This window comes from Homo sapiens, chromosome 3 (genome assembly GCF_000001405.40).
Source record: "Homo sapiens chromosome 3, GRCh38.p14 Primary Assembly".
In the NCBI taxonomy this organism is placed as follows: Eukaryota; Metazoa; Chordata; class Mammalia; order Primates; family Hominidae; genus Homo; species Homo sapiens.
The window spans coordinates 123,785,497-123,808,511 of record NC_000003.12 but is presented as its reverse complement, the minus strand read 5'-3'; the positions used below and the strand labels follow the sequence as shown (position 1 = coordinate 123,808,511).

Below are 23,015 nucleotides of genomic sequence, written 5' to 3'. Positions count from 1 at the left end.
CTACTTACAGTTGGTATCCTATACAATGATCTGAATTTTTTGGTTGTAATATAAAAATGCTTCACCCAAATCTTTGAGTAAAGTTGATGTTCTAGGGTGAGGTAGCCTCAAATATCCCAAAGGGCATACAGCCACACCCCTCTGGGCTGGAGGTGGGATTGAAAGTAGTTTCAAAGGTCCCTTCCAGCTGTGAAATTCCAGGCACCTAGAGTAAGTGAGTCTCATCCTCAAAGGACCTAAGGTTGGTACCAAAGAATTCTAAAGGAACCTGAGAAGCGGGATCCCTGTGCCCTGCCCCTGGTGAGAATGGACAGGGCTGTGTGGAAGTGGAACTAGCAGAAACAGGGAGAGAGACAGCCCTCTGCAGTGAAGGGTGAAGGAGGCTGGAGGAAGAGCCGGGCTGTGTCTGGGCCTGACTGTCGGCCTTGAGCTGATGACCCTGGCAGGTTTGGCTTGGCAGCTCTCCATCTCCCCAGGTAATTTCCAGGAAGCACTAAGCCATTGTTTCTCATCCACAGCTGGAGGCTGTCTGGGGAGGAGCCCTCATATCTCAGGAGGGCAGTGAGGGCAGGGGGTGAACTGCATGTGGAAACATAGAGCTTGTCACACTGCCAAGGCCTCCTGGCCATTCTGATGCAGCACCTAAGGCTGGGGTCTGGGCTTGTGCCCAGCCAGTGGGAGGAGAGTTGAGGGAGTCTGGAGAAGGGCAGCAAGGTTTTGGAGAGAACACAGAGATTTCTGGCCTTTGAATGGGAACAATCTCTAACTACATTCTGGGAACCTCTCTGTGCATGGGGAAAGACTATCTGCTGATGGTGGTGTCAGCCTTGCACAAATTTGCCAGTATGCATGGTCTCTTCCTCAGGCATGAGGGATTCAAATGAAGTCACCCCGTTTGTTTAGGGCAAATGTAAGGGTTTTCCCTGGGCAAGGGATTGATGACTTAGTCAAATTCATACTCAGCAGATGTCATGACAATAAAAATCTAAGGGGATATCAATACATTCGTTACACTGGAAATTTCCTGTTGTGTAAGGTATTTGTTATAATAAGATTTAACATAGCTTTTTTTTTTTTGGTGGGGGGATGGAGTTTCACTCCATTGCCCAGGCTGGAGTGCAGTGGCACTGTCTCAGCCCACTGCAACCTCTGCCTCCCGGGTTCAAGAGATTCTCCTGCCTCAGCCTCCAGAGTAGCTGGGATTACAGGCGCCTGCCACCACACCCAGCTGACTTTTGTATTTTTGATAGAGAGGAGGTTTCACCATGTTGGCCAGGGTGGTCTTGAACTCCTGACCTCAGGTCATGCCCCCGCCTTGGCTTCTCAAAGTGCTGGGATTACAGGTGTGAGCCACCATGCCCAGCCATAAGATTTAACATATCTTGATAAACCCTTTCTAAGCATGTTGCCAAGTTGGATTTGAAGTTCAGAAGGACTGGATTCCAGTACTGCTTTATGAACTATATGACCTTAGGCAAGACTCACCTGGTCTTTGAGCTTCGGGTGTTCCATCCATAAAGTGGTGCTATAAAATATCTCAGTATGTTGGCCAGGCACGGTGGTTCACGCCTGTAATCCCAGCACTTTGGGAGGCCGAGGTGGGTGGATCACCTGAGGTCAGGAGTTCGAGACCAGCCTGGCCAACATGCTGAAACCCCATCTCTACTAAAAATACAAAAAAATTAGCCAGGTGTAGTGATGCGCACCTGTAATCCCAGCTACTCAGGAGGCTAAAGCAGGAGAATCACTTGAACCCAGGATGCGGAGGTTGCATTGAGCCGAGATCACGCCATTGTACTTCAGCCTGGGTGACAAGAGCAAGACTCCATCTCAAAAAATAAATAAATAAATAAATAATATCTTAGTATGTTGTGAAGTTGAAATGGGATATTGATTAGGAAAGTATTTCATCAGTTGTTAAATAAGTAGCTAAATGTTCATTTTAAGTAAAAACCCTTTTGGTAACATTAGCTAAGTATCACCATCCTCTAGGCCCTCCACAAGCTAGTCTCAATCAATGTAATGACTATTTTTCAACATTTCTCTTGACCCATCTCTTTACCAGATGAGTTTCCTTGCTCTTATATACAGGCACCACCATCTCCCTAGATCAGCTCTATACAGACGGCTCACCTGCTTAGATTACCATGGCCTGTTCTCTGTGCTTTGCCAGCTTCAGAGATCTCAACTCAGTCTTTGAAGATACAGTGGTCCACTCTGGACCCTAGTTTCCTCATCCATAAAATAAGGGAGCGGACTACATGATTTAGGTTCTCTTTCATCGCTGACATTCTGCAATCCAGCCATTTTTCAGTGTGCAAACAGTAACCTAGAATCTGAGAAGATGAGAGCAATGCATATTGTCCAACAATTATAAGTAATTGATTTAAAAAAGCACTTTAAAAGCATGAATTAAAAAATAAAATAAAAATAAAAGCATGAATTAATAATCTATTCCTTGTGATATATAGGGCAATGTTTGTAGCAATATTTAAATGAACTAAAACATTTAAGTGAAATGTGAAACCTGAGTCTTCATCATAACTGACTATTATCAAATTGTTACCATTTTTTGAGTGCTTGCTACATGCCAGACATGGTTAGAAATTACTTATTACAGTTACAATGTATTGAGTATTTTGAGTATCTACTTTCTGATAGCTGCTTAAAGCTGCTGCTAATCATACTACCCTGCAGATGTACAGATGGGGAAATTGAGGTTTAGAGAAGTTAAGTAAATCACCCACGGTCATCCAGCCACTGTGTGGCAGTAGCAGGGTTCAAGTCTAGGTGTGTGTAACAACAAAGCCTGTGACGTGATGGCTCCACCCAAGTCCTCTGTCTTGCAGTCACCACTGTGCTTCCTCTTAGGTTGTAAATCTGTTGTTACTACTCTCCTAGGACTGGTGGTTACCCCAGCTGTGTTTATGATACAGCTCTGGACTTGACCCTGAATTAGGAATTGGCCCTCTCTCTCTTTAGTTGAGGCAGCCAGCCTGAGAATTGTATGGGAAAAAAACCCTAGATTTTTATGGGAAAAACCTCCACCTAGATTTAGCACCTTCCCTCCTCTGGCGTGTTGGAGAAACCCAGTCTCGGCTCCCTCCTCACTTCCCTCCGTGTGCACCTGCCTTCTCCTGTCAGTGCTAACCAAGGATGGAAGTAAAACTAGAAATCCTTAATACCGTTTGCCAGGCTTTGGGCTTCAGCCACGGGAGGCAGATTGTGTTGATGGATGTAATTAGAAAACTGCAAACCTGCTTCTCAAATCCCAGGTCCTAAAGGAGTTGATAAACCAGGTTGGCTCATGTCTCATTCTCCTTTGCTGTGTCACACGGGGAAGGATTTGGAATAGAAGTATCCCCAGGCCTTTCAGTAATGGAAGCTCGAGTCAACCATGGATGCACCAGAGCCAAACGAGTGATGGCAACTGCCTTTGGCCCCAGGGGTCCAGCAGGAGCTGTGGACAGCTGGGGCTGGTGACAGTCTTCACTTGATAAGAGTCTGGGATCCTACTGGCAACCATGTCACCGCAGCCCCTCCTGTCAGCAGTGCTTCCTGCTCCCTCTTCCAAGCGGAAGACCTGTTCCAGCTGAATGGCTTAGGCTCACATGGAAAGGAGGACACACACAGAAGCGCCTTCCTTCTTCCCTCTCCTCCAATCAGTCAGGTGTTAGTTGAGTCACAGAGCTAATGTTTTCTCAGGGGAAACAGGCCATGGGACCTGGTGCCTCCCCTAAACTGCATAGAGAGGACCAGGGGCCACATTTAGAAGCCAGGCCTGGGCAGCTTCTCTCACAGTTCACTTGTGCCCATGCCCTCAGAATTGAGGGGTCTTCCTAGCAAAGTATCCTCTGGGCTTGTCCCTTAAGATCATCCCCACAGAACCAGCTCCCTGCAGAAAGCAGAGAGGCAGTGTGTATTTCAGGCCATTTTAGACAGAAGGCATGGGATCTACAGTCTGCAGGTAGAGAACCTGCTCACAGCCTGCTCCAGGGGAGTGTGTGATCTGCAGAATCATGAGGTGCATTTCCTTCCTGCACCTTCTTTTCTCAAGTGGGCTTTCCTAGGCTTCTCACAGACCACTGTTGGAGAGGAGGGGAGGGCAGGACAGACTCCTGCCACAGAGAGGTGACCCTTTTTACTCCCTCTCCTTTCTGGGTCTCCTCTCAGTCCTGTGACCCTACAGCACCAATAGCACACCCTACTGCCATGGGCTGCCCAAACCCACTTGCTAGCCCTCTCCCTGGCTTCCCTCCCTGCCCCCTGCAAGATTTCTGTTTCAAAATAACTCAAATTACCAAATGCTGGCAGAATTGAGGGAGTGGGAGGGAGAGGAAGAATGAAGTGATTGAAAGACAGGGAGTATATTCCATTTACCTTATGAGCAAATGATACTCCCCAACATCCTGCCCCATTAATTTTGCTGTTAATATCTGCCATTCTGCTAAGGGATTAAATGAGTTCTAAGTCACCTTAAGTACTTAGTCTAATGCCTGACAGTAAGTGCTAAATACATGGCAACTATTATTAGTTCTCTCTTTTTCTCCTTTTTCCCCTGGGATTTTCCCTTAGCTCTTCCAGCCCCAGCTCTTCTCTGGACAGACCTCATCCAATCAGAGGGCTCCACCTGGGAGCTGGCCAGAAGCAGAGGAGCTAGAATCACTGCACAGGTGTGGGTCGGGACTGACCCAGCCCTCAGAGTCTTCCTAGCCTGTGCCGCTGTCTCACAGGTGTGTCTCGAGGACCAGGTGTGCCTGCCTGATTTGCCTGCTTGGCGGGCAGCCCTGGGCAGGGAGCCCCAACAGAAGTCTTTTTGGTTGGATATAAGCTTTGCCTCCTCTCCTGGGGTCCTGCAGCAGCTCATCCCTGCCTGGGCTTGGATCCCCCTGCTGGAACCTTTCCTACTTGCGCACATGTCTTGTGGAGAGCTGGTGGCAGTCTTAGAGAAAGGTGCACTAGGACAGGAAATGCCCAGAGAGACCCTTCAGGCCGTGTAGAGAGGACCAGAGAAGGAAGGTGGCTTTCCTGAGATCACACAGCTGGTTTGGGTGGCAGCACCACAATAAGCATGAGAGTCACTGACTCTTCTGTGCTATCTCACCCTCCAGTGCCATCCGGATTTCTCCTGTGCACCTACTTTGAGCAAGGTTGCTTTTATTCTCTGAGCCTCTGACAGAAACTTTAAAATCATAAAAGCAGTAACACCATTAACGATAGCAGTCATCATAGATTCAGCTCCTATTCTGTGTGAGAGACTAGGCTGAGGTCGCTTTTTATGCACGTTGCTGACCCTCGTAACAATCTTGCAGCTACGAGGCTATTAGCAGTAGCCGCATTGTACAGCTGAATCAACTAAGATTTTGAGAGATTGTCAATTGCCTCAAGCCACCCTCCTAGGGATTGGAAGCCATGAGCTCGGTTCTTGTTCCCTGAGTCGATTTCCTGGGCTTCAGTGGGCTAAGGGTTGTGAGGCTGCCCCTACCTGAGTACTCACACCTCATCTCATAGGGTTTAAAACACAAGGCACAGTTCTGCTTGGCAGAATGGAGTGGGGGGCATGGTATTTGAGAAGGAGACAGTGGTGGTAGGAGTTCAATAAGTATACTTGATACCCCAAACTTAATCCTGAGGGGGTGAAACCTAAGAATGAAGTGAGTGAACTTTAGGATTATAGCTGGAGTGTGCATTCCGCTAATTTAGTTATAAGCAGGGCTCTGGTTCTGGCTTTAATTACTTTTGCATATGACTTGTATCGCAGAAAACTTCTCTCAGCCTGTTCCCATCAAATCCCAAATAAAGCAAGAATTCCAGCAGGAAGAAAACAACTCCAGGAGACCAGGCCTTGCTCCTTCACACTGTGCGTGAGGTTAGGTGTGTGGATTTGATTAGATCTGTGTGCCTGTGTCTGTGTGTGTGTTGTTGTTGTCGTTGTCCCCTTTTAAGAAAATTTAAAAATAACTTTCTGCCAAAGATGTGGGCACCAGGGTTGTGTTGCTGAGCAGAAATGCTCCTCCCACCCGTGGTCTGCTGCTCTGCTGATGTGGCCCAGCTGATGTGGGCAGCTTGTCTGCCTGCAGAAGCTCAGCCCCTCCTTTAATGTGTCTTCCAAGAGGAAAGGCCCAGGAAGCCATGGGGAGGGAGAGGCTGCCTGGTGGCTCAGGGAAGAACTCAGCTGTTGGGACAAGAGTGGGCTGGCTTTGCCTGCTTTCATGTGGGAACCCAGGGACCTGGATCCAAGTCACTCAAGGATGCCAGCAGGAAACCCTGAGATTGTACCCCGGGCAGGCTGTGATTGTGCCCATTTCACAGCTGGGAAGACTGAGAAACAAAGAGTAGAAAGGATGCAAATCAGAACTATCATGAGGTACCATCTGACATCAGTCAGAATGGCTTTTGTTTAAAAGTCCAAAATAACAAATGTTGGCAAGGCTGTGGAGAAAAAAAGAAAGACACTTATACATTATTACATGGTGAGAGTGTAAATTAGTCCAGCCACTGGGGCAGTTTGGAGATTCCTCAAAGAACTAGGAGTTGAACTACCGTTAGACCCAGCAATCTCATTACTGGGTATATAGTCAAAGAAAGATAAATCATTCTATCATAAGGACACATACATCTGTATGTTCTTCACAGTGCTATTCCCAATAGCAAAGACATGGAATCAAACTAGGTGCCTATCAATGGTGGAGCAGATAAAGAAAATGTGGCACATATACACCATAGACTATTATGCAGCCATAAAAAAGAATGAAATCATGTCCTTTGCAGCAACATGGGTATAGCTGGAGGCCATTATCCTAAGCAAACTAACACAGAAACAGAAAAACAAATACCACATGTTCTCACTTGTAAGTGGAAGCTAAACATGAGGTATACATGAACATAAAAACAGAACAATAGACACTCTAGGGATTGCTAGAGGAGGGAAAAGGGAGGGGAGCAAGGGCTGAAAAACTATCTGTTGGGTACTATGCTCCCTACCTGGGTGATGGGTTTAATCATACCCCAAGCCTCAGTATCATGTAATCTACCTTTGTAATAAACCTGCACATGTACTCCCTTACTCTAGAATAAAAGTTTTTTTTAAAGGGAAAATAAAGTAAAAGTTAAAAAATAAAGAAGACCACTTTTCCCTTTCTCCTTGTGTATTTTAAGAAGGACAGAAATGAGAGTAGATGGTAACAGAGAGAGTAGGGAGATAGGCTAATGTGGTGGTTCTCAAAATGTGCCCTGGATGTCCCTGAGACTCTTCCAGGGTCCCTTGAGGTCCAAGTTATTTTTGTAAGAAAACATCATTTACTTTATTTCACTCTCATTCTCTTTCAAGCGTACAGTGGAGTTTTCTAGTAGCTGTGATGTCACAATAGATTGGATGCAAAAGCAGATATGAAAATTTAGCTGTTTTCTACTAGCCAGACATTAATTTGCAAAAAGGAGCAACTCTTCTCATTAAATTCTTTTTTGTCTTAGAAAATATATTTTTCTCTTAAAATGTTATTTATGTTAGCCTATAATGGGCTTATTGATGTTTTAAAATGAATTAATATTTCCCAGTTTTAATTTCCAATACTGTAAATATTGACAGCAGTAACTCACAAACAAAAGCTCTCTGGGGGCCCTCAATAATTTTTAGAAGCATAATGGGGCCCACCCTGAGACAAAAATGTTTGAGAACTACTGGGAAAGCAGGTAGGGGGTCTCCTAGGTGTTAAAAGAATACCAGCTCTTCAAGAATCAGATATGAATCAAGGGAAAACTTAAATTCATGTCATTGCCGATTCGGATGTCCACAGTCTGCCCCAAGGTGTGAGTTGCATAGGATGTTCCTTTGGAACTATGAAAATACCTTCTCTTGCTGGAGGAAAAGGTCTGGACAGGGCATCACCTTGCTGCCTCATTTTAGAGGAGTGCTCCAAGGATCATTCCTGAAGCTCTCCAGGGCTCTGGACCAACGAGGCAAAGTCGTGCTCAACATGAACACAGTCTGTGGAGTCTGGGCCTCATCAGTGCAGTTCCTTATGAGAAACACAGCACAGGAGTTCTCCATCCATCTGCTTGCTGGGCTTGCATCCTGCTCTAGGGATCATAAACAGGGCTTCTTCAGCTTAGGGAAGAAAGAGCTGGGTCTCAGGAGGAAATATCTTATGATCCCTGGGTGGTAATCCCAGGCCAGATGTGCCAAGGGGTTGGAGTGGTGTTCCAGGCCAGATGTGGAATTGGGAGAGTGCCCAGCCCCTCCGAGGACTCAGCTCTCTGCTTGACAGGGTCCTCCCTTTGCTCCACACTCAGATTAGAATCTGCAGCTCTGAACAAGTAAAAATAAAAACCTGTGAGCTTCCACCCCTGGCTCCCCCAGGACTCCATTGAGAGCCTCTGCAGTGGCAGCCAGAGGTTTCAAAGGTCACCCCAGCTGGGCGGATTAGAACAACAGATCTCCCGGACCGGGTGAAGTTGGCTGCTCAGCGGAAGGCAAATTGCACCATCTGCGAGCAGAGTCAGAACAAAAGCCCCTTAACTTTTTCGGTCTGGCCCTGGGCTCTGTGGCGCCCGGCACTCCTTCGGTCTCCATTCTTGGCTGGACCTTGGACAGGAACCTCTGCAGTACGGTGGTGGTGAAGTGTGGCTGCCTCGCATCCTGACTCATGTGAGAGCTGCCGAGGAAGAAGCTGCGGTAAGGTGTGTCCCGTTCACTGGTGTGTGGTCCTGCCCAGCTTTGCTCCGGTAGGTCATAGCAAGTCAGCCTGGCACAGCCGAGGAGCAGCGCACTCCGGAATTAGGAGTGATTAGAGAACTTGTCAGGATTTGAGTGCATTGCAGAGAGGATTAAGGTGGGAGAGGGAGCTGTCAGTGCCTGGGGCATTTGCACGTGGGTGGTTTTGCTGCCTCTGATGTGTGCTGTTGTTGGAGGTAGGGTTCACGGTAGACTGCGGAGCCTGCTTGGGAGCCCCTCCCTCTAGGGAAGGTATGATATTTCCAAGATGCCCGGCAAACTGACCAGGTGCTTCAAGACAATGATCATTTAAAATGTATACACTTTGGGTAGGGAAGGGGATAACTGGTTTCTCTAAACTTGTTCTGTGGTATTACTTGAGCCCTGATTTTTTAAACTTTTTTTCTGAGTCATTTGCCTTATAGTTACAATCTCTTTTCGCTGTAGTTGAAAGTGTTCCTTTCTGGGTTCAAGAGACAATTTAAAGTGCTTTTGATCAAATTAAAGTCCAGTTAACTCAATGCTGCTTCAAATAGTTAATAAATTATGTTACTTGTGAAAGCCTCATTTAGAGGTGGGCGTTGGCCCAAGCATCAGGGGGTGAGGGGTGAGGGGTAAGGGGGGTAAGGGGGAGTTTCCAGCTCTTGAACCACTGCTCTTTTTGACCCTCTCCCCTGTTTTTTCTTCTTACTTCTCTGTGTTTCCCCTTTGATCTGTGTTTAGCTTGTATTGAATAAGACCCCCTAGCTGGGTGTGTTTGATTCTAGCCACTGAGCATTGCTCTGCATTAGAGAAATTATTGTAGAAATCACCCAACCTCTCTGGTTTTCTTGATTGGAATATAGTCCACAGGCTTGACAAGGGATTAGAGAGGAACGAGGTTTGGTCTAATTTACTTTATTATTAATTTTTTTTCTGATAGAGCATTCCACATATGTCAGTAACCATTAATTGTGTGGCAGAGATCTGTTTATGCTGATGATGGCAGTGGGTGGGGCGATGGGCTGAGGGTGAGCAGAGCTGTTTGGTGTGGCTGGGCTCTGGTCCTGTCCGCATGGTAGTTGAGTAACTCTCCCCCACAAAAGCACTTTGCAAGGGACTAGATGTTCCCTTGCTGTATTGATTTGCGTGTTCCTTTTCTAACCTGAAGCCAGACCTCTCCTAGGGATGGATGACTCCTGTCTAATGTGCTGTTGAGATCAAGCAGGTGCCTTTTGATGAGAACATCTGGGGCCTTCAGGAGATTTCCATGGGCCTCTGATTTTAGATCAAGAGGACTTGCACAGAGGGTCCTGAGCCACTCCTACCTTCCAGGAGGATCTCACCACTCCTAGCTTCCAGCTCCCCTGAAAGCAAAGGTAGAGAAGAGTCTTGTGTCTTCAAAGCCAGGCCTGACAGCAGAAGGGGGAGGCACATGCTCTGCCCCTCTTCCTCTGTACAACTCCCAACCCTCTGCCTATTGCATCTCTCATTACTGGGGATGGCAAGAAATACCTCATTTGAGATGTGGGGGCCTCCGAGAAGCCAGCAGATTTTGACTTTGTAATCAGACCTTGATTTGGTTTTCACTTTTTAGCTGTGTGACCTTAGACAAGAGTAGTTGGCTTTCTAAGCCTCTATGTCTTCATTTGTGAAGGGGTGATCATTAGAACTGCTCTTTCTGATTGAGATGGGTGCCCAGCATGATGTCAGCACGTACACCTTGCTTATTAAATGGTGCTGCTAGTACAGACACAAAGGTGCTGCGGGAAGCTGCCCATGGGCCTCAGGCCCTCCTCCCCACCTTCCCAGGGAATTCTGCCATCTGCTTCCTGCTACTGTTTTCCAGTCATCTCACTCATAGACCCTTGCCTGAAGATATCTGGGGCTTCTTGCTGTCTTTGGTGAAAGGGTCTATATCTATATTCAGGGTGGAGAGACGGGCATCCCTTTGGGAACTGGATGATAATGATGTTGACAGCCACTGCTATTGAATGCCTTTTATGCTATATTATGGGTGTTACATACACTCTCGTTCAAACCTTCCCTTCAACTTTATGAGGCTGATATGATCATTCCATTTGACAGAGAAAGAGACTGAAGCCAAGAGGGTTGGAGCACCTTGCCCAGCTCACAGCTGGAAAGTGGCCGTGTCCCCGGGTTTGTGGCAGGGTCACAAAAGTCTGATCCTCATGATACCTGTCCCCACCTTCATCCCAAGTCTCTACCCGGTCCTGGCTGCACAGTGTATCATCACTTCACCTCTGTGGCAGAGGAGGAGGGCACAGGGAGCAGTGTTCTTACTGGGGTGTGGTCCTGGGTAGCTATGTGGGATATCAGATGATGCCCATTCCTTCCGCAGCCCTGTGTTTCTACGGTCGCCACACAAACAACAACACACATGCCCCACTCATGTAACTGCTGCTGTATACCAAGTCTCTAGCTTGGCCCATGGTAGATATTTAGTAAATATATTTTAATTGAGTGAATGAATATATCTTGATGCTCGCCATTAAAATTGTAGTATGACTGCTTTTAAATGGTTCTACAAACATATACTATATGCTATAAATGCTATAGATGCTATAAATATGGCAAAATGTTAATTGTTAAATCTAGGTGATAGGTATTTGGGGTGCTCATTTTATCATTCAATTCTACTGTTCTGTATGTTTGAAATTTCCCGTAATAATTTTTTAAATTTAAAATTTCTATATCATCAAATTCTTATCATTATTTTCCCTGTAAATATGTACCCATAAAACCACCTGGTATTCCACTGTATTTGACCAGTTCTCACTGTTGGATTTTTTAAAATATAGTCTATCTTCTGTCCTAAATAATGCAAATAGTGTTCTTATAAATAAATTTTGGGCTGTATCTCTGATTCTTTCCCAATAATATATTTCTAAATGTAGGATTATTGGGAAAAGACATGGAAGTATTTTTTAGAATCTTTTTACCAAATTGCTTTCCAGAAAGACTACACCAGTTTTTATTCCCCACAGAGGGTATGAGCATGCCCATCTCATCATGGTCTCACCAGCAGTATATGTTATGTTTCTTTTTAAATGTCATTTAAATGAAATGTTTTGGTTCATTTTTAAAAAGTAACAGCTTATTCTTAATTTGCACTCTTGGATTATTGTCGGAGCCAAGAGTGTTCAGTGGTACATCCTCTGTGCATTGTTCAGGTCATATCATCCGTCCATTGATCTGTTGGGCTGCTTTCTTCTGATATGTAAAGACCTTTGTTTGGTGCAAACATTTTATTCCAGGTTATCACCCATCTTCTAATGTTGTTGATAGTATTACAGAATATTTTAATTTTATACATATGTGGTAGCGGCTCTCAACTTTTCCCCTTGTTATCCCAACTTTTACTTTTCCTTTCCCATCAGCCAATTTGACTGCTTACAGGAGGCAAGAGGGCCTAGTGGTTAAGAATAGCAGCTCTGGCGCCAGGTGCTTGGGTTCAAATGCCTGTTCTGCCCCCTACTAAATGCATGAACTTGGACAAATTTCTCAATCTCACTGTGCCTCAGGTGTCTAATCCACAAAATGGGGATACCAAGATTATCTGTCTCATAGTGTTGTTGTAAGGAGCAAATGAGCTATTTATTATTTATATTTATTATTTATAAAGGGCTTGGAAGAGTTCCCCACATCTAGTAAGTGCTACACAAGTGTTTGCTTTTATTGCTACCTACTGCAGGGAACCTGTGAGTCTTACCATTCAACAAGGAATTTTGTTTGCAAAGCTAATATCTTATCAGTGAAAGAGAAAGCTGGGTTTATCAAGCAGGGGATGTGCCCTATTACAAATGAGCCTAGTCCCTTTGCTGCTTTCACTTGAACTTCAAAAGAGATATCCCCATTTTATTTTTGTTAGAGATTATTAAATTTAAACAAACTAATTACATGTCCCAGAGAGCATTGTTCATTTGTGTCAGTTTACCTGACTCACAGCATAGGACTTAAGTATGTGACCAGACAGCCAAAGAAAATGAACAGAAAAGCAAATCTAGGAATATGGCTTCTCTTCAGTTCAGCAGATGTGTGCCCCACGTCTGGGCCAGTCATCAGGGATTTTGTGGTAAGAAATGATCGTCAGCCTGGATCTGTCCCCACCTGCACTTGGAACCTGGGACAGGGACACTTTGGGTGTATTCCAGGTGGTGGCAGTTGTTGTCCAATGGCCTTGACTGGAGTCCGACCACCTAGCTCTTCTCAACTGCAACGTTTTCCCAGCCTGGTTCTTCAGATTTTTCTATGGATTTTGGAAACTCCCCCTGAAACTCCACCATCTTTCCAACAAATCCTTTCTCTGTTTACAAGAGCCAGATTTAGCTTCTCTTGCTTTCAATCAAGAACTCAGATATGTACTTATAATAATTCCACTTTTGGAGTCATTTGTAAGGAAATCTTTAGGAATTCGGGCATAGATTTCAGTACACATAGACTCATCACCGGGCATCATAAAAGATTTAGAAACTATCCAAATGGCCAGCAGTAGGGAGATAGTTATGTAAGTCATACATCAATATGATGGATATTTGAAAATCAAATTTCTTAAAAGCAACTTTTCCCCCTTATTTTAAGAAAAGTTGTAGGGAAAAAATAGAAAACATTGTTTACATAGTATGCTTTCAACCATGTAAGATATGTGTTTTTCTATATTGATAAAAACAAAATTGGAGGGAAATGTACCACCATTCTGTATAATAGAATTATGGATATTTTCACTTAAAAAACTTTTATTTCAGGTTCACATTTTCACATTTTAAAAGAGCTCTGGAGCCTGCCTGGGTTTAACTTCCACTTCTGCCACTCAATAGCTGTGTAATGGGCAAGTTATTCCACCTGTCTGACCTCAGCTTCTTTATTTGCGAAATGATGACTATACATACTTCATGGGGTTGTTCTGAGGATTAAAACAAATGAGATAATATAAAAAGTGCTTGATACAGTGCCTGGAACAGAATGTATTCTCAATAAATGATAACTTATTATTTTTACATATTGGTAATTTTCAAGTTTTATGATGAAATGTATTTAAAATTAAGAATAATAAAATATCACAAAAGAGTTGACGATCGCTCTAATGAGTAGTCGTCTGTTACTTCTCATGTCAGCCCCTTGTTCTGCTACCCTTGCCAGCCCCAGTCACATCTTATCTAGTCCCCAGCAGGCCCTGGACCAGGAGTCAGGGCTTAAGGTGTTCTTGTCAGTGATACCATCATTTTGCTCTGTCTCCTGGGGCAAGTGACTTACCCTCTCTGGGCTTCAGTTATAAGCAGAGGCATTAGCCTGGGTAATCTGAAAACACCCCCCTTCTCTGATGATCTGTGATCTTGGAGCCTTGTTCACAATCTGGTCCTCAGAGGTGGGATGTCCCCCCATGCCTACCTCCTTCCCTTCATTCAGCCAAGACTCTCCCTTTACCTCACCCAGGGTCCTTGCCATATTAACCCCAAACTACCTTCCTCTCTTGGAGTATGGATCCCATTTTTCTATAGCCTGTGAGCTCTTGCAGTTCAGGCTAAAGCAGTTTCTACTTTCTGCCAGAAGTGCTTAATGTAGATGTTGGTCCTGAAGAGTTAGTGACTATTAAATACAGATTATAGATATCTATTATAAGAACTATTTCTCCATTCTTGTCCCCAGCTTCCCCTTTCCTAGAAGAAGGGGTCAGTGAAAAGATGGAAAGTTCCCCACAGGGTTTTGAGGAGGCAGGGCATCGCCCTGGGAACCGGAGTGTTTGTCTGGGATGGGCTCTGCCTTGTCCTGGCACTTTGTGTATAAAAGACAGAGCCTCTCATCTTCACAGAGGAGCTGTGGGTGGACACTGACCTAACTGGGGATCTGCTCCACGTAAAAGCCACACCTCCAGACTGGACACACCTGATGCCTGAAGGGAAGACAGGGCTGTGCTTTGTCTGATCTGACCTTGTCCTCTTCCTTCCTTTTTGCAGACCATGGGGGATGTGAAGCTGGTTGCCTCGTCACACATTTCCAAAACCTCCCTCAGTGTGGATCCCTCAAGAGTTGACTCCATGCCCCTGACAGAGGCCCCTGCTTTCATTTTGCCCCCTCGGAACCTCTGCATCAAAGAAGGAGCCACCGCCAAGTTCGAAGGGCGGGTAAGAAGTGTGGCTGGATGGGGAGGCTGTGGGGAAGGATGGGCAGGGGCCGCTGCTCCTTGTCAAGCCTTTTCCTGGGCCGGCTGGATCTAATAGAAGGCTCAATTTTCTTTTGGACCTTCATGTAAAACGAACCTGTGCCACTTTTCTCTTTCTTTTGTTTGTGATGGGCTTTGGTCTGTGCTGGAGAACTTGGGGGTGGGGAGGACGCTGCAAGTTGACCATCCTGTGATGTTTTGCTGTTAATGTAGGTTGTGTTCTGGGTACATGCTATATAATTACAGAAAAAGAAGACGCGGTCCGGTGGCAGGAAGAATACAGCTTGGGTTTATATATGTCCTCAAATCTGGACAGTTGAGAATTGACTGTAATTTTTCTCTTGCTTTTTCCGTGGAAGGAGAGTTTAGTTAGCCGACCTTCTTGTACATCCATTTGGTATACCCGGAGCAGTGATAGGACCTCTCATTTCACTTCTGTCACCTGTCATAAATGAATACTGGTCACTTGCCGTTACTGGGACTCCACTTCTTCTTCTACAAATAGGCATGATCATTCCTTGTCTACCTTGTACTCAAAGGAGAAGAGAACACTGAAGAATAGTTGTACTATGACTCAGCAGTCTAAGAGGGAGCTCCTGAAAGCTTGTAGGAGGGGGTCAGGTGGATGATTCTTTTTGCATGATGCCGGACCTTACCTTTGTGTAAGTGGCAGGTCTGGCTACGTGGTTGTCTGGAGAGTTTGCAGGGGTTGCTGCCTTGAAAATGGCCTGGGGCTGTACTGAATTGCATGCTGTGCATGGACCTGTGTAGTCAAGACTGTTTGCTAATGATTCTGACCTACTAGTCCTTTCATATCTCTTACCAGAAGATTGTTGGGGATGTTAGTGATGTTCCTGAGGAGTCTGTTTCTCTCTGGGCACTACCAGGATGAGGGCTGTCTTCTGTTGCCCTGACTCTGGTTCCCTCTGTCCTCTTATCCTCATAGCTAACAGGAGAGAAGCAACAGGAAGAATCGCTGGGGGCTCATAAATGACTTAGATGACTATAAAAAGGAATGAAGTACTGACTCATGCTATAACACGGATGAACCTTGACACATTATGCTAAGCGAAAGAAGCCAGACACAAAAAGCCACTGATTATAGGATTCTATTTATATGAAATGTCCAGAATAGGAATATCTATAGAGACAGAAAGTAGAAAGGTGGTCACCAGGGGCTGGGGGGAAGAGAGATGGGGAGTGGCTGCTGATAGGCACAGGATTTATTTGGGGCTGATGAAAATGTTCTGAAATTAGTACTGGTGGTTGTACAACTTTTCAATATACAGTAATTATAAAATACTGAATTATACACTTAGAAAACTAAAAAGTAAAAACATTTGAGAAACGGATCAGACAGCAAAATGGATCTTAACTGCACACACAGTCTCCTACCATACTGCTTCTGAGACATAAACTCCTTCCTCAAGTCAAACAAATATGGAGAGGAAGAGATGGCGGCCTCTATGTCATGTGATGATGCTTTTGCTTCCTTTGCTGACCTTGGTGTCATGAAAGAACCATGCCTTGAGTGACTCGATTTGGAACTTGCATCTGCTGAGCACTGGCCAGGAGCCAACACACTGGAGTTCTTTGTTGCTCAGTGTCCTCTGGTTGGCAAGCCATGCCTTCTATGTGGCTAAGGTTTCCTTCTCTGAGAAAAGACAACTGGCTGTTTCTGTATTTCTGGCCCACAGGGGTGGAAGAAGAAAAGTTGATAGATAGTAAAAGTACTTCATGAAGTTAGAAAGTATACTTTGGTAAGACAGTATTTTTCTTAAGGAGTTGAAATTTACATAACATAAATTTAACCATTTTAATGTGAACAATTTAGTCATTTAATTCAGTGTTGACTGCAGTATTCTTAAAATGTAGCTTTTTCTATGTGAAAATTTTATTTTTCTTATATGGATGAAATAGTTGACCTTGTATATTACATGTGGACTATATGTCAAAATGCATGTGTTCCTTATGAGTCAGACTGCAGCGCTACTTGACCACTTACCACCTGACTTGAATTAACCCAGAACAATGCCTTGGCAGCACACTGGTGTATACAGAAGAAAGACTATTCCAGAGAGACGTCGAAAGCATCCAGCTGTCTTGCAGAGACAAATGCAGAGGGAGAGACTGTAGAAGAAAATGCCCTGGAAGCTAGCATGCTGCAAGTGTGTATTGTTAGTGTAGGAAACAACACAGAGACTTTTGCATCAGGGAAGGGCCACATCACATGATCCCAGAAGAAGAGAGCTGGTTGTTCTGATACCAAAGACGAAGTTAAACAGGGGGTGTTTCTGACCTGGTGACCTCAAAGAAGTGAAAAGTTAGGTGGTGTTAGCCTGAGGTGGCATGGGTTTTGAGCAGGAGTTGCTGGTTATAATAAGCTCCAAACACTCAAAACTTGCAGTTCCCTATTGGGCATAGTCAGTGGTGATCTGCCTTCCAATGCATGTCAGCCTTCACTGTTGGGGCCACTTGACCTTGCCTGCAGCTGACCCCTCCCTCCAGGTCCTGGGACACACCCCTCCCTCCAGGTCCTGTTCTAGGTGCTCAATCGTCACGGAACCAGTCCTGGTATCACTCTCAGGATGGCCTCAGGAGCACATTTCTCTGGTAACTGAGCTCTTGCAGAACCTCTTATGAGTGACTAACTTAAAAAGTATGCCTTCAAGCAACTTCTTGGACCCAGGCTGGTCCCTGTCACAGCTGACAGGAATCTTCTTCCTGGCCTCTGCCCACAGCACCTCTGCCTGCTTTCCTCCGTGAAGTTGCGCCCACGGTGGAGGCAGTGGAGGGACCTAGGACTTCCCAGCTTCTTCTGAAAGAGGTTCAGGGACCGTCCCATCACTGAGAAGCAAAGTGGACACCACAGATGTGAGAAAGTTCTAAAGATTTATTTCCTACTGCCTTTGGAGCTGCCAATCAGAAGTTCTTCAAATGTGTGCTTTTGGTTTTTATTCTCGTAAGACGTTAAGAACTGTTGCCTACTCTGCCCCATTTCCTTTTTATGCCTGTTTTTAGACAAAGGACTTAATGAACCACTTCCTTCAATAAAGCTCCTCTTTCTATCTAGTGACTTGGGTGACATTAAGATGGGATAACAGGCACCCCCTGGGGGTTCAAGCCTCTTTCCAAGGAGCTCCAAACGACGAGATGCTCATCTCTGTGGGCTCAGTCCCTCACAGCCTTTAGGGCTTTTCCACCTTGTGGGAGATACATTGGGTAGCCAACACATAACCCATGACCAGGCCCCTTTGCCTTTGCCCTGTTCCATGATGGGGTCCACTGTAGAGGCTTCCGTTGCAGCTAAGGGTAGCCCAGTGACACATTTGGGCTGAAGTCAGATAGGGAGCTTCTGGAAAAGCCCTTGCTTTTCTGATTAAAGGAAGATAAAAAGACATCACTGGTGCTCTCATATTTCACCCTTCCGTTGCTTCCTGCCTTGAATACAGGTGTAATGCCTGGTGCTTGGGCAGCCAGATTAAAACCATGAGGCAACAAGCCTGCACGCTAAGGATTGTTTGGGGGCAGGGGGACAGCAGTGGAGAGAGTGAAAAGAACCAGCAGCTAAGAGACACAAATCCTAAAGCTCAAAGCCTGTCCCAGATACAATCTTTGCAGTGATTCACACAGGAAATGTTACCGAAAGTATTCCTAACTGATAAATAGCTCGCGAGATGCATGTGGAGATAGTGTCTCCTTAAATGAAGGGAATGAATAGGAGAGAAGACATTGCACAGGGATGGGGGTTCCTTATTCTGAGTTGATTGTGGTCCTGCAGTGAAATCATTCTCGAAGAATTCATTCACTCCCTGGCTGTGGCCATTAGGCTTGAACCAGCAGGGCCTAGGGTTTATGAGAGGAAGTCAACAACTACTATTTGATTAGCATCTACTGATTTGACCTAAGCCCCTTCCCTCCTCTCCCCTCTCCTTCCCATCTCTTCCCTTCCGTTCCTTCTTTTTTTTTTTTTTTTTTTGCTTTGCCAGCCCAAAGCTTGAGGAGACTATATTTTCAGGAATTAATACAACTTTATCTCATTTCCACCTTTAGACCCAGGCAACCAGATCCCTCTTCCCGTGCCCACAACCTAGAAGCCCCTGTTCCTTTATCCAGCTGTTCTCTCTCCATAGAGCAGCAGAGCAGGAGACCTGTCTGCCCAAGGGATACGCCCACCGGAGCCAAACCTCCCCCATGTGCTGGGCACCCAGGACCCAGGAATTTTTTACCAAATGGCCCTGAGCACACTTCTAACACCTGTGTAGGCCTCCTCCCATGAAAAGATGTTGCTAGGCCTGGGGGGGCGGGGTCAAAGGGCAGCTGTTTGCTTGGGAGGACAGTGAGGTAGATGAAAATTCAGACGCGCGCTCTGTGTTCTGCTCACGTGCCTAGTAGAACAGGATGTAAGTAGGGTGGGGCGAGAAGTGCACAGGACTGCGCCACTGTCTGGTGTTCACTGCTGGGCCTCAGGGGTGGCTGGGGGCTTCCATGTACAGACAGCCAGGGCTCCACGAATGCCAGGGGCTGGTGGAAACACCCCTAGCTGCTCTGTTGCCCATGCTGGTAGCTGAAGTGTTGATGGGCTGTTTTCCCCAGCAGAGTCAAGTATGAAAAGAGCAATGGTGGGAAAAATGCTGAAATTACTGGAGATTTCTTCCCTTCTACCCTGGAATTTATTCTTATCAGAAAAAAAAAGCAAACATGGTGACAAGCCCTGGCTGTGCTGTGACTCAGATGAGCTAATACTTTAGTGTCTCTTGAGAAGTACAGCCCAAATGAGGTTTCGGCTCACACTGCTGGCCTTAGCGTTTGCTGAGGTGGGCTTTGTGATAAAGAGCCAGCCCTGGCCCTGTCAAGGCATGTTTCTGTCTAAGCTGTGGAAGGTGGAGGAAGGGAACATGAGAATACTGAACCATGGAAGCATGAATAATTCCTCAGTTTCCACTTTATACAATAGTGTATCTGTCTCCCAATAACTTTCAACTCAGTTCACTTCCAGCTCAGAAGCAGTCAGCCACCATGTTTAGCACTTTAACAATGAGAACACATGGACACAGGAAGGGGAACATCACACTCTGGGGACTGTTGTGGGGTGGGGGGAGGGGAGAGGGATAGCATTAGGAGATATACCTAATGCTAAATGAATTAAATGGGTGCAGCACACCAGCATGGCACATGTATACATATGTAACTAACCTGCACATTGTGCACATGTACCCTAGAACTTAAAGTATAATTAAAAAAAAAAAGAAATAACAAATCAAAAAAAAAAAGAGAAATTTGAAAGAAATGTCTGGTTTGCTTTCTGTCCTCAGGAGTCTTAATGATGTGGTTCTGGAGAAGAATGTGCATATAGAAGAGCAAGATATGACAGTGTATAATTAGGTGCTTGAATTTCTTCAAGAAATAGTTTCTACTATAGGAATTGAGAGATTAAGATGAGGCTGGGAGTGGCTTGAAGACTGGTTTCCTGCTCTGATTTCTGCCCTTCCAGTTCATCCTTCCTTCTGCTACTTAAGTGATCTTCCTACCACGTGGATCTGACGGTGCCACCTCCTGCTTTATACGCTGGAACCTTGGATGGTTCCCCTTGCATGAAATTCTGCAGCACTGCTTAAAAGGCCGTTGATGACCAGCTCCTCACCCTCCAGCCTTGTCTCCTTTCCCTCCCTTCTTCCATCTGCTGTATTTTGGTGATGGTCCTGCTCCCTTGGCCCACACAGGCACAGTGCAAATCCTTTGCTCTAGCCCCAACTTTGTGGAGAAAGGGTAAACAAGAAGCATATTTTATCTCCCTATTGGTTTGGGGTTAGGAATGGGGTAGATATGATAGAAAGGGGACTAACATATTTGTTAATGGCTTATTGGTGCTAGGCTTACAATCTTAATCATTTTATCCTCCTGGCAAGGCAGCTTTTATCCTGATTTTTTGTAGGGTAAGAACCTGGGGGCTCCAAGGGATTATAACATTTACACCAGTAAGTGATGGAGCCAGTTTTAATAGACCTAAGTCTCATGTTCTTCCTGCCGCATGACACTGCCCCTTCACATGTCTCATCTGGTTCCTTGAACGCGATGACCGTTTCTTGTCCATCTTTGAATAAGATGAATGCCTGCCATATGATGAATGCTCAAGCAGTGTTTGGTGCCCCTGAGGAGAACCACGGTGGTGAAGTGTCTAAGACTCCCGGTGTCTTGCCATTCAAGCCCATAAGGATTTGGCCGTGTACTTCTTCTAGGGTCCTGTGTCTCTGTTACCCCATCAGCACTCCCTGCCTGGCTTCAGAGCCCTCATTCCGCACCAGCCACACCCCTGTGCACCTGCTTCCTGCTCCTCCACAGCCTGTGCCTATATCAAGAATGCCCTTCCTTCTTTCCATTCTACGCAGCCTCAGGATCTGATTTAAATTCTACCTCCTTCAGGCTACTTTCCTAATGCTTCCTTTTAAAGCATTTCATTAGAGTACAGAAGAGCCATGGTTATAGGATGTGGAAAATTCACAATAATCATATAAGATCATTCTTGACTAATAGCCACAGGAAAGAGTTGACTACTTTGGCCTTTTAAAAAGGTATTATTCACTAATAATCTCTGTGCCTATAACTATGTTACAAAGAAAAGCATGATTTAAATGCTAAACTATTTTTAAAACAAAAATTCAGACAAAGTTAAAAGTTATTTGCCTTAGCCCTCACTTCTACTCTATATAGGTGGCCACCATTAATAATGTTGAGTATCCTTTCAGAAATGATTTATACAAATATTAGCATATATCTGAATATCCTTGTATATACACAAATGGGCCATGTATACATAGTAACCTACAATTTGCTCTTTCTATTTTTTTGTGAGTTCATAGTAGGAAATATATATTTATGGGGTACATGAGATATTTTGATAAGGCACGCAATGTGAAATAAACACATTGTAGAGAATGGGGTATCCATCCCCTCAAGCATTTATCCTTTGAGTTACAAACAAGTCAATTACACTCTTTATTTTGAAAAATACAATTATTATTGACTATAGGTACCCTGTTGTGCTATCGAATAGTAGGTCTTATTTTTTCTTTTTTTTTTGTACCCATTAGCCATCCCCCCCTCCTCCCCCACCCCCACCCTCCCACTACCCTTCCCAGCCTCTGGTAACCATCTGCAACTTGCTCTTTTTACTGAATGTCTTTCGGTGTTTTTGTTTTCACACTAGCACACAGATCCACTTCACAGCTCTAATTCTGAACTTTCTAACCCTCAATTGTTCCCTTCTCTGAACGCCTATAATACTTTTATATATATATGAGACTCATTTTTACTCTTTATCAATTTTTTTTTTTTGAGATGGAGTCTTACTCTGTTGCCCCAAGCTGGAGTGCAGTGACACAATCGCGGTTCACTGCAACCTCCGCCTCCCAGGTTCGAGCGACACTCCTGCCTCAGCCTCCTGAGTAGCTGGGACTACAGGCGCGTGCCACCACACCCGGCTAATTTTTGTATTTTTAGTAGAGACAGGGTTTCACCATGTTGGCTAGGCTGGTCTCGAACTCCTGACCTCAGGTGATCCGCCCACCTCGGCCTCCCAAAGTGCTGGGATTACAGGCGTGAGCCACTGTGCCCGGCCTACTCTTTATCAGTTTTTTAATCAATTTATAATTTGATCCATTATTGTTTATCTTTTGCTTCTTCAATGAGAGTGAGCTGTTCAAGATACAGAATTGCATTGTCCAATAGGATACCTACCCACTAGTCACATGTGGCTACTTAAACTTAAATTAACATGAATTTAAATTAAATAAAATTGAAAATTCAGTTCCTCAGCCGCATCAGCCGCATCAGCACTATTTAAGTGCTGAATAGTCACATGGGGCTAATGGCTACCATATTGGACAGCACAGATTCTTGAACATTTCCATTATCATAGAATGTCCTTTCGGACAGGGCTGATTGAGAGCCTTCTCACACATAATTCAACTTCCCATACTGTATATCACTAACCCACAGCTAGAAGATAGACTGGAAATAGTTGTCCCATTCACAATAAAATGAAGGCATTACATTCTTGAGAATTAAGTGAATTCTCAAGATTCATTCAAAGAAAAATGTGATCTGTTGATGAGAGAATCTTTGTCCTTCATCTTCATTGTA

The 23,015-nt window shown here is 44.9% G+C and overlaps 1 protein-coding gene across 17 annotated transcripts in view, besides 3 other annotated features; it reads left to right on the top strand.

The window, feature by feature from the left end:
- MYLK (myosin light chain kinase) overlaps positions 1–23,015 on the top strand; it is a 274,284-nt gene that overhangs the window by 75,821 nt on the left and 175,448 nt on the right. For 15 of the 17 annotated variants that reach the window (XM_047448184.1, XM_024453532.2, NM_001321309.2 and 12 more), the window contains one exon: positions 14,668–14,835. In XM_047448184.1, the coding sequence (XP_047304140.1) occupies positions 14,671–14,835 (165 nt within the window). In that variant the 5' untranslated portion in view covers positions 14,668–14,670. Of the gene's footprint in view, positions 1–8,450; positions 8,725–14,667; positions 14,836–23,015 lie in introns of those variants that run through there. The other 2 variants (XM_024453537.2, XM_047448185.1) reach the window with 2 other exon arrangements.
- Positions 356–650: an enhancer, noted in NCBI's record as "tiled region #10510; HepG2 Activating DNase matched - State 5:Enh". NCBI's record gives its function as "activates a minimal TATA promoter and a strong SV40 promoter by Sharpr-MPRA in HepG2 cells {active_cell/tissue: HepG2}" and the evidence as "EXISTENCE:reporter gene assay evidence [ECO:0000049][PMID:27701403]".
- Positions 356–650: a silencer, noted in NCBI's record as "tiled region #10510; K562 Repressive non-DNase unmatched - State 22:ReprW". NCBI's record gives its function as "weakly represses a minimal TATA promoter and a strong SV40 promoter by Sharpr-MPRA in K562 cells {active_cell/tissue: K562}" and the evidence as "EXISTENCE:reporter gene assay evidence [ECO:0000049][PMID:27701403]".
- Positions 14,821–16,020: an enhancer, noted in NCBI's record as "CDK7 strongly-dependent group 2 enhancer chr3:123511339-123512538 (GRCh37/hg19 assembly coordinates)". NCBI's record gives its function as "activates an origin of replication core promoter dependent on BRD2, BRD4, P300/CBP, MED14 and CDK7 cofactors, with strong dependence on CDK7, by STARR-seq in HCT116 cells {active_cell/tissue: HCT116}" and the evidence as "EXISTENCE:reporter gene assay evidence [ECO:0000049][PMID:35650434]".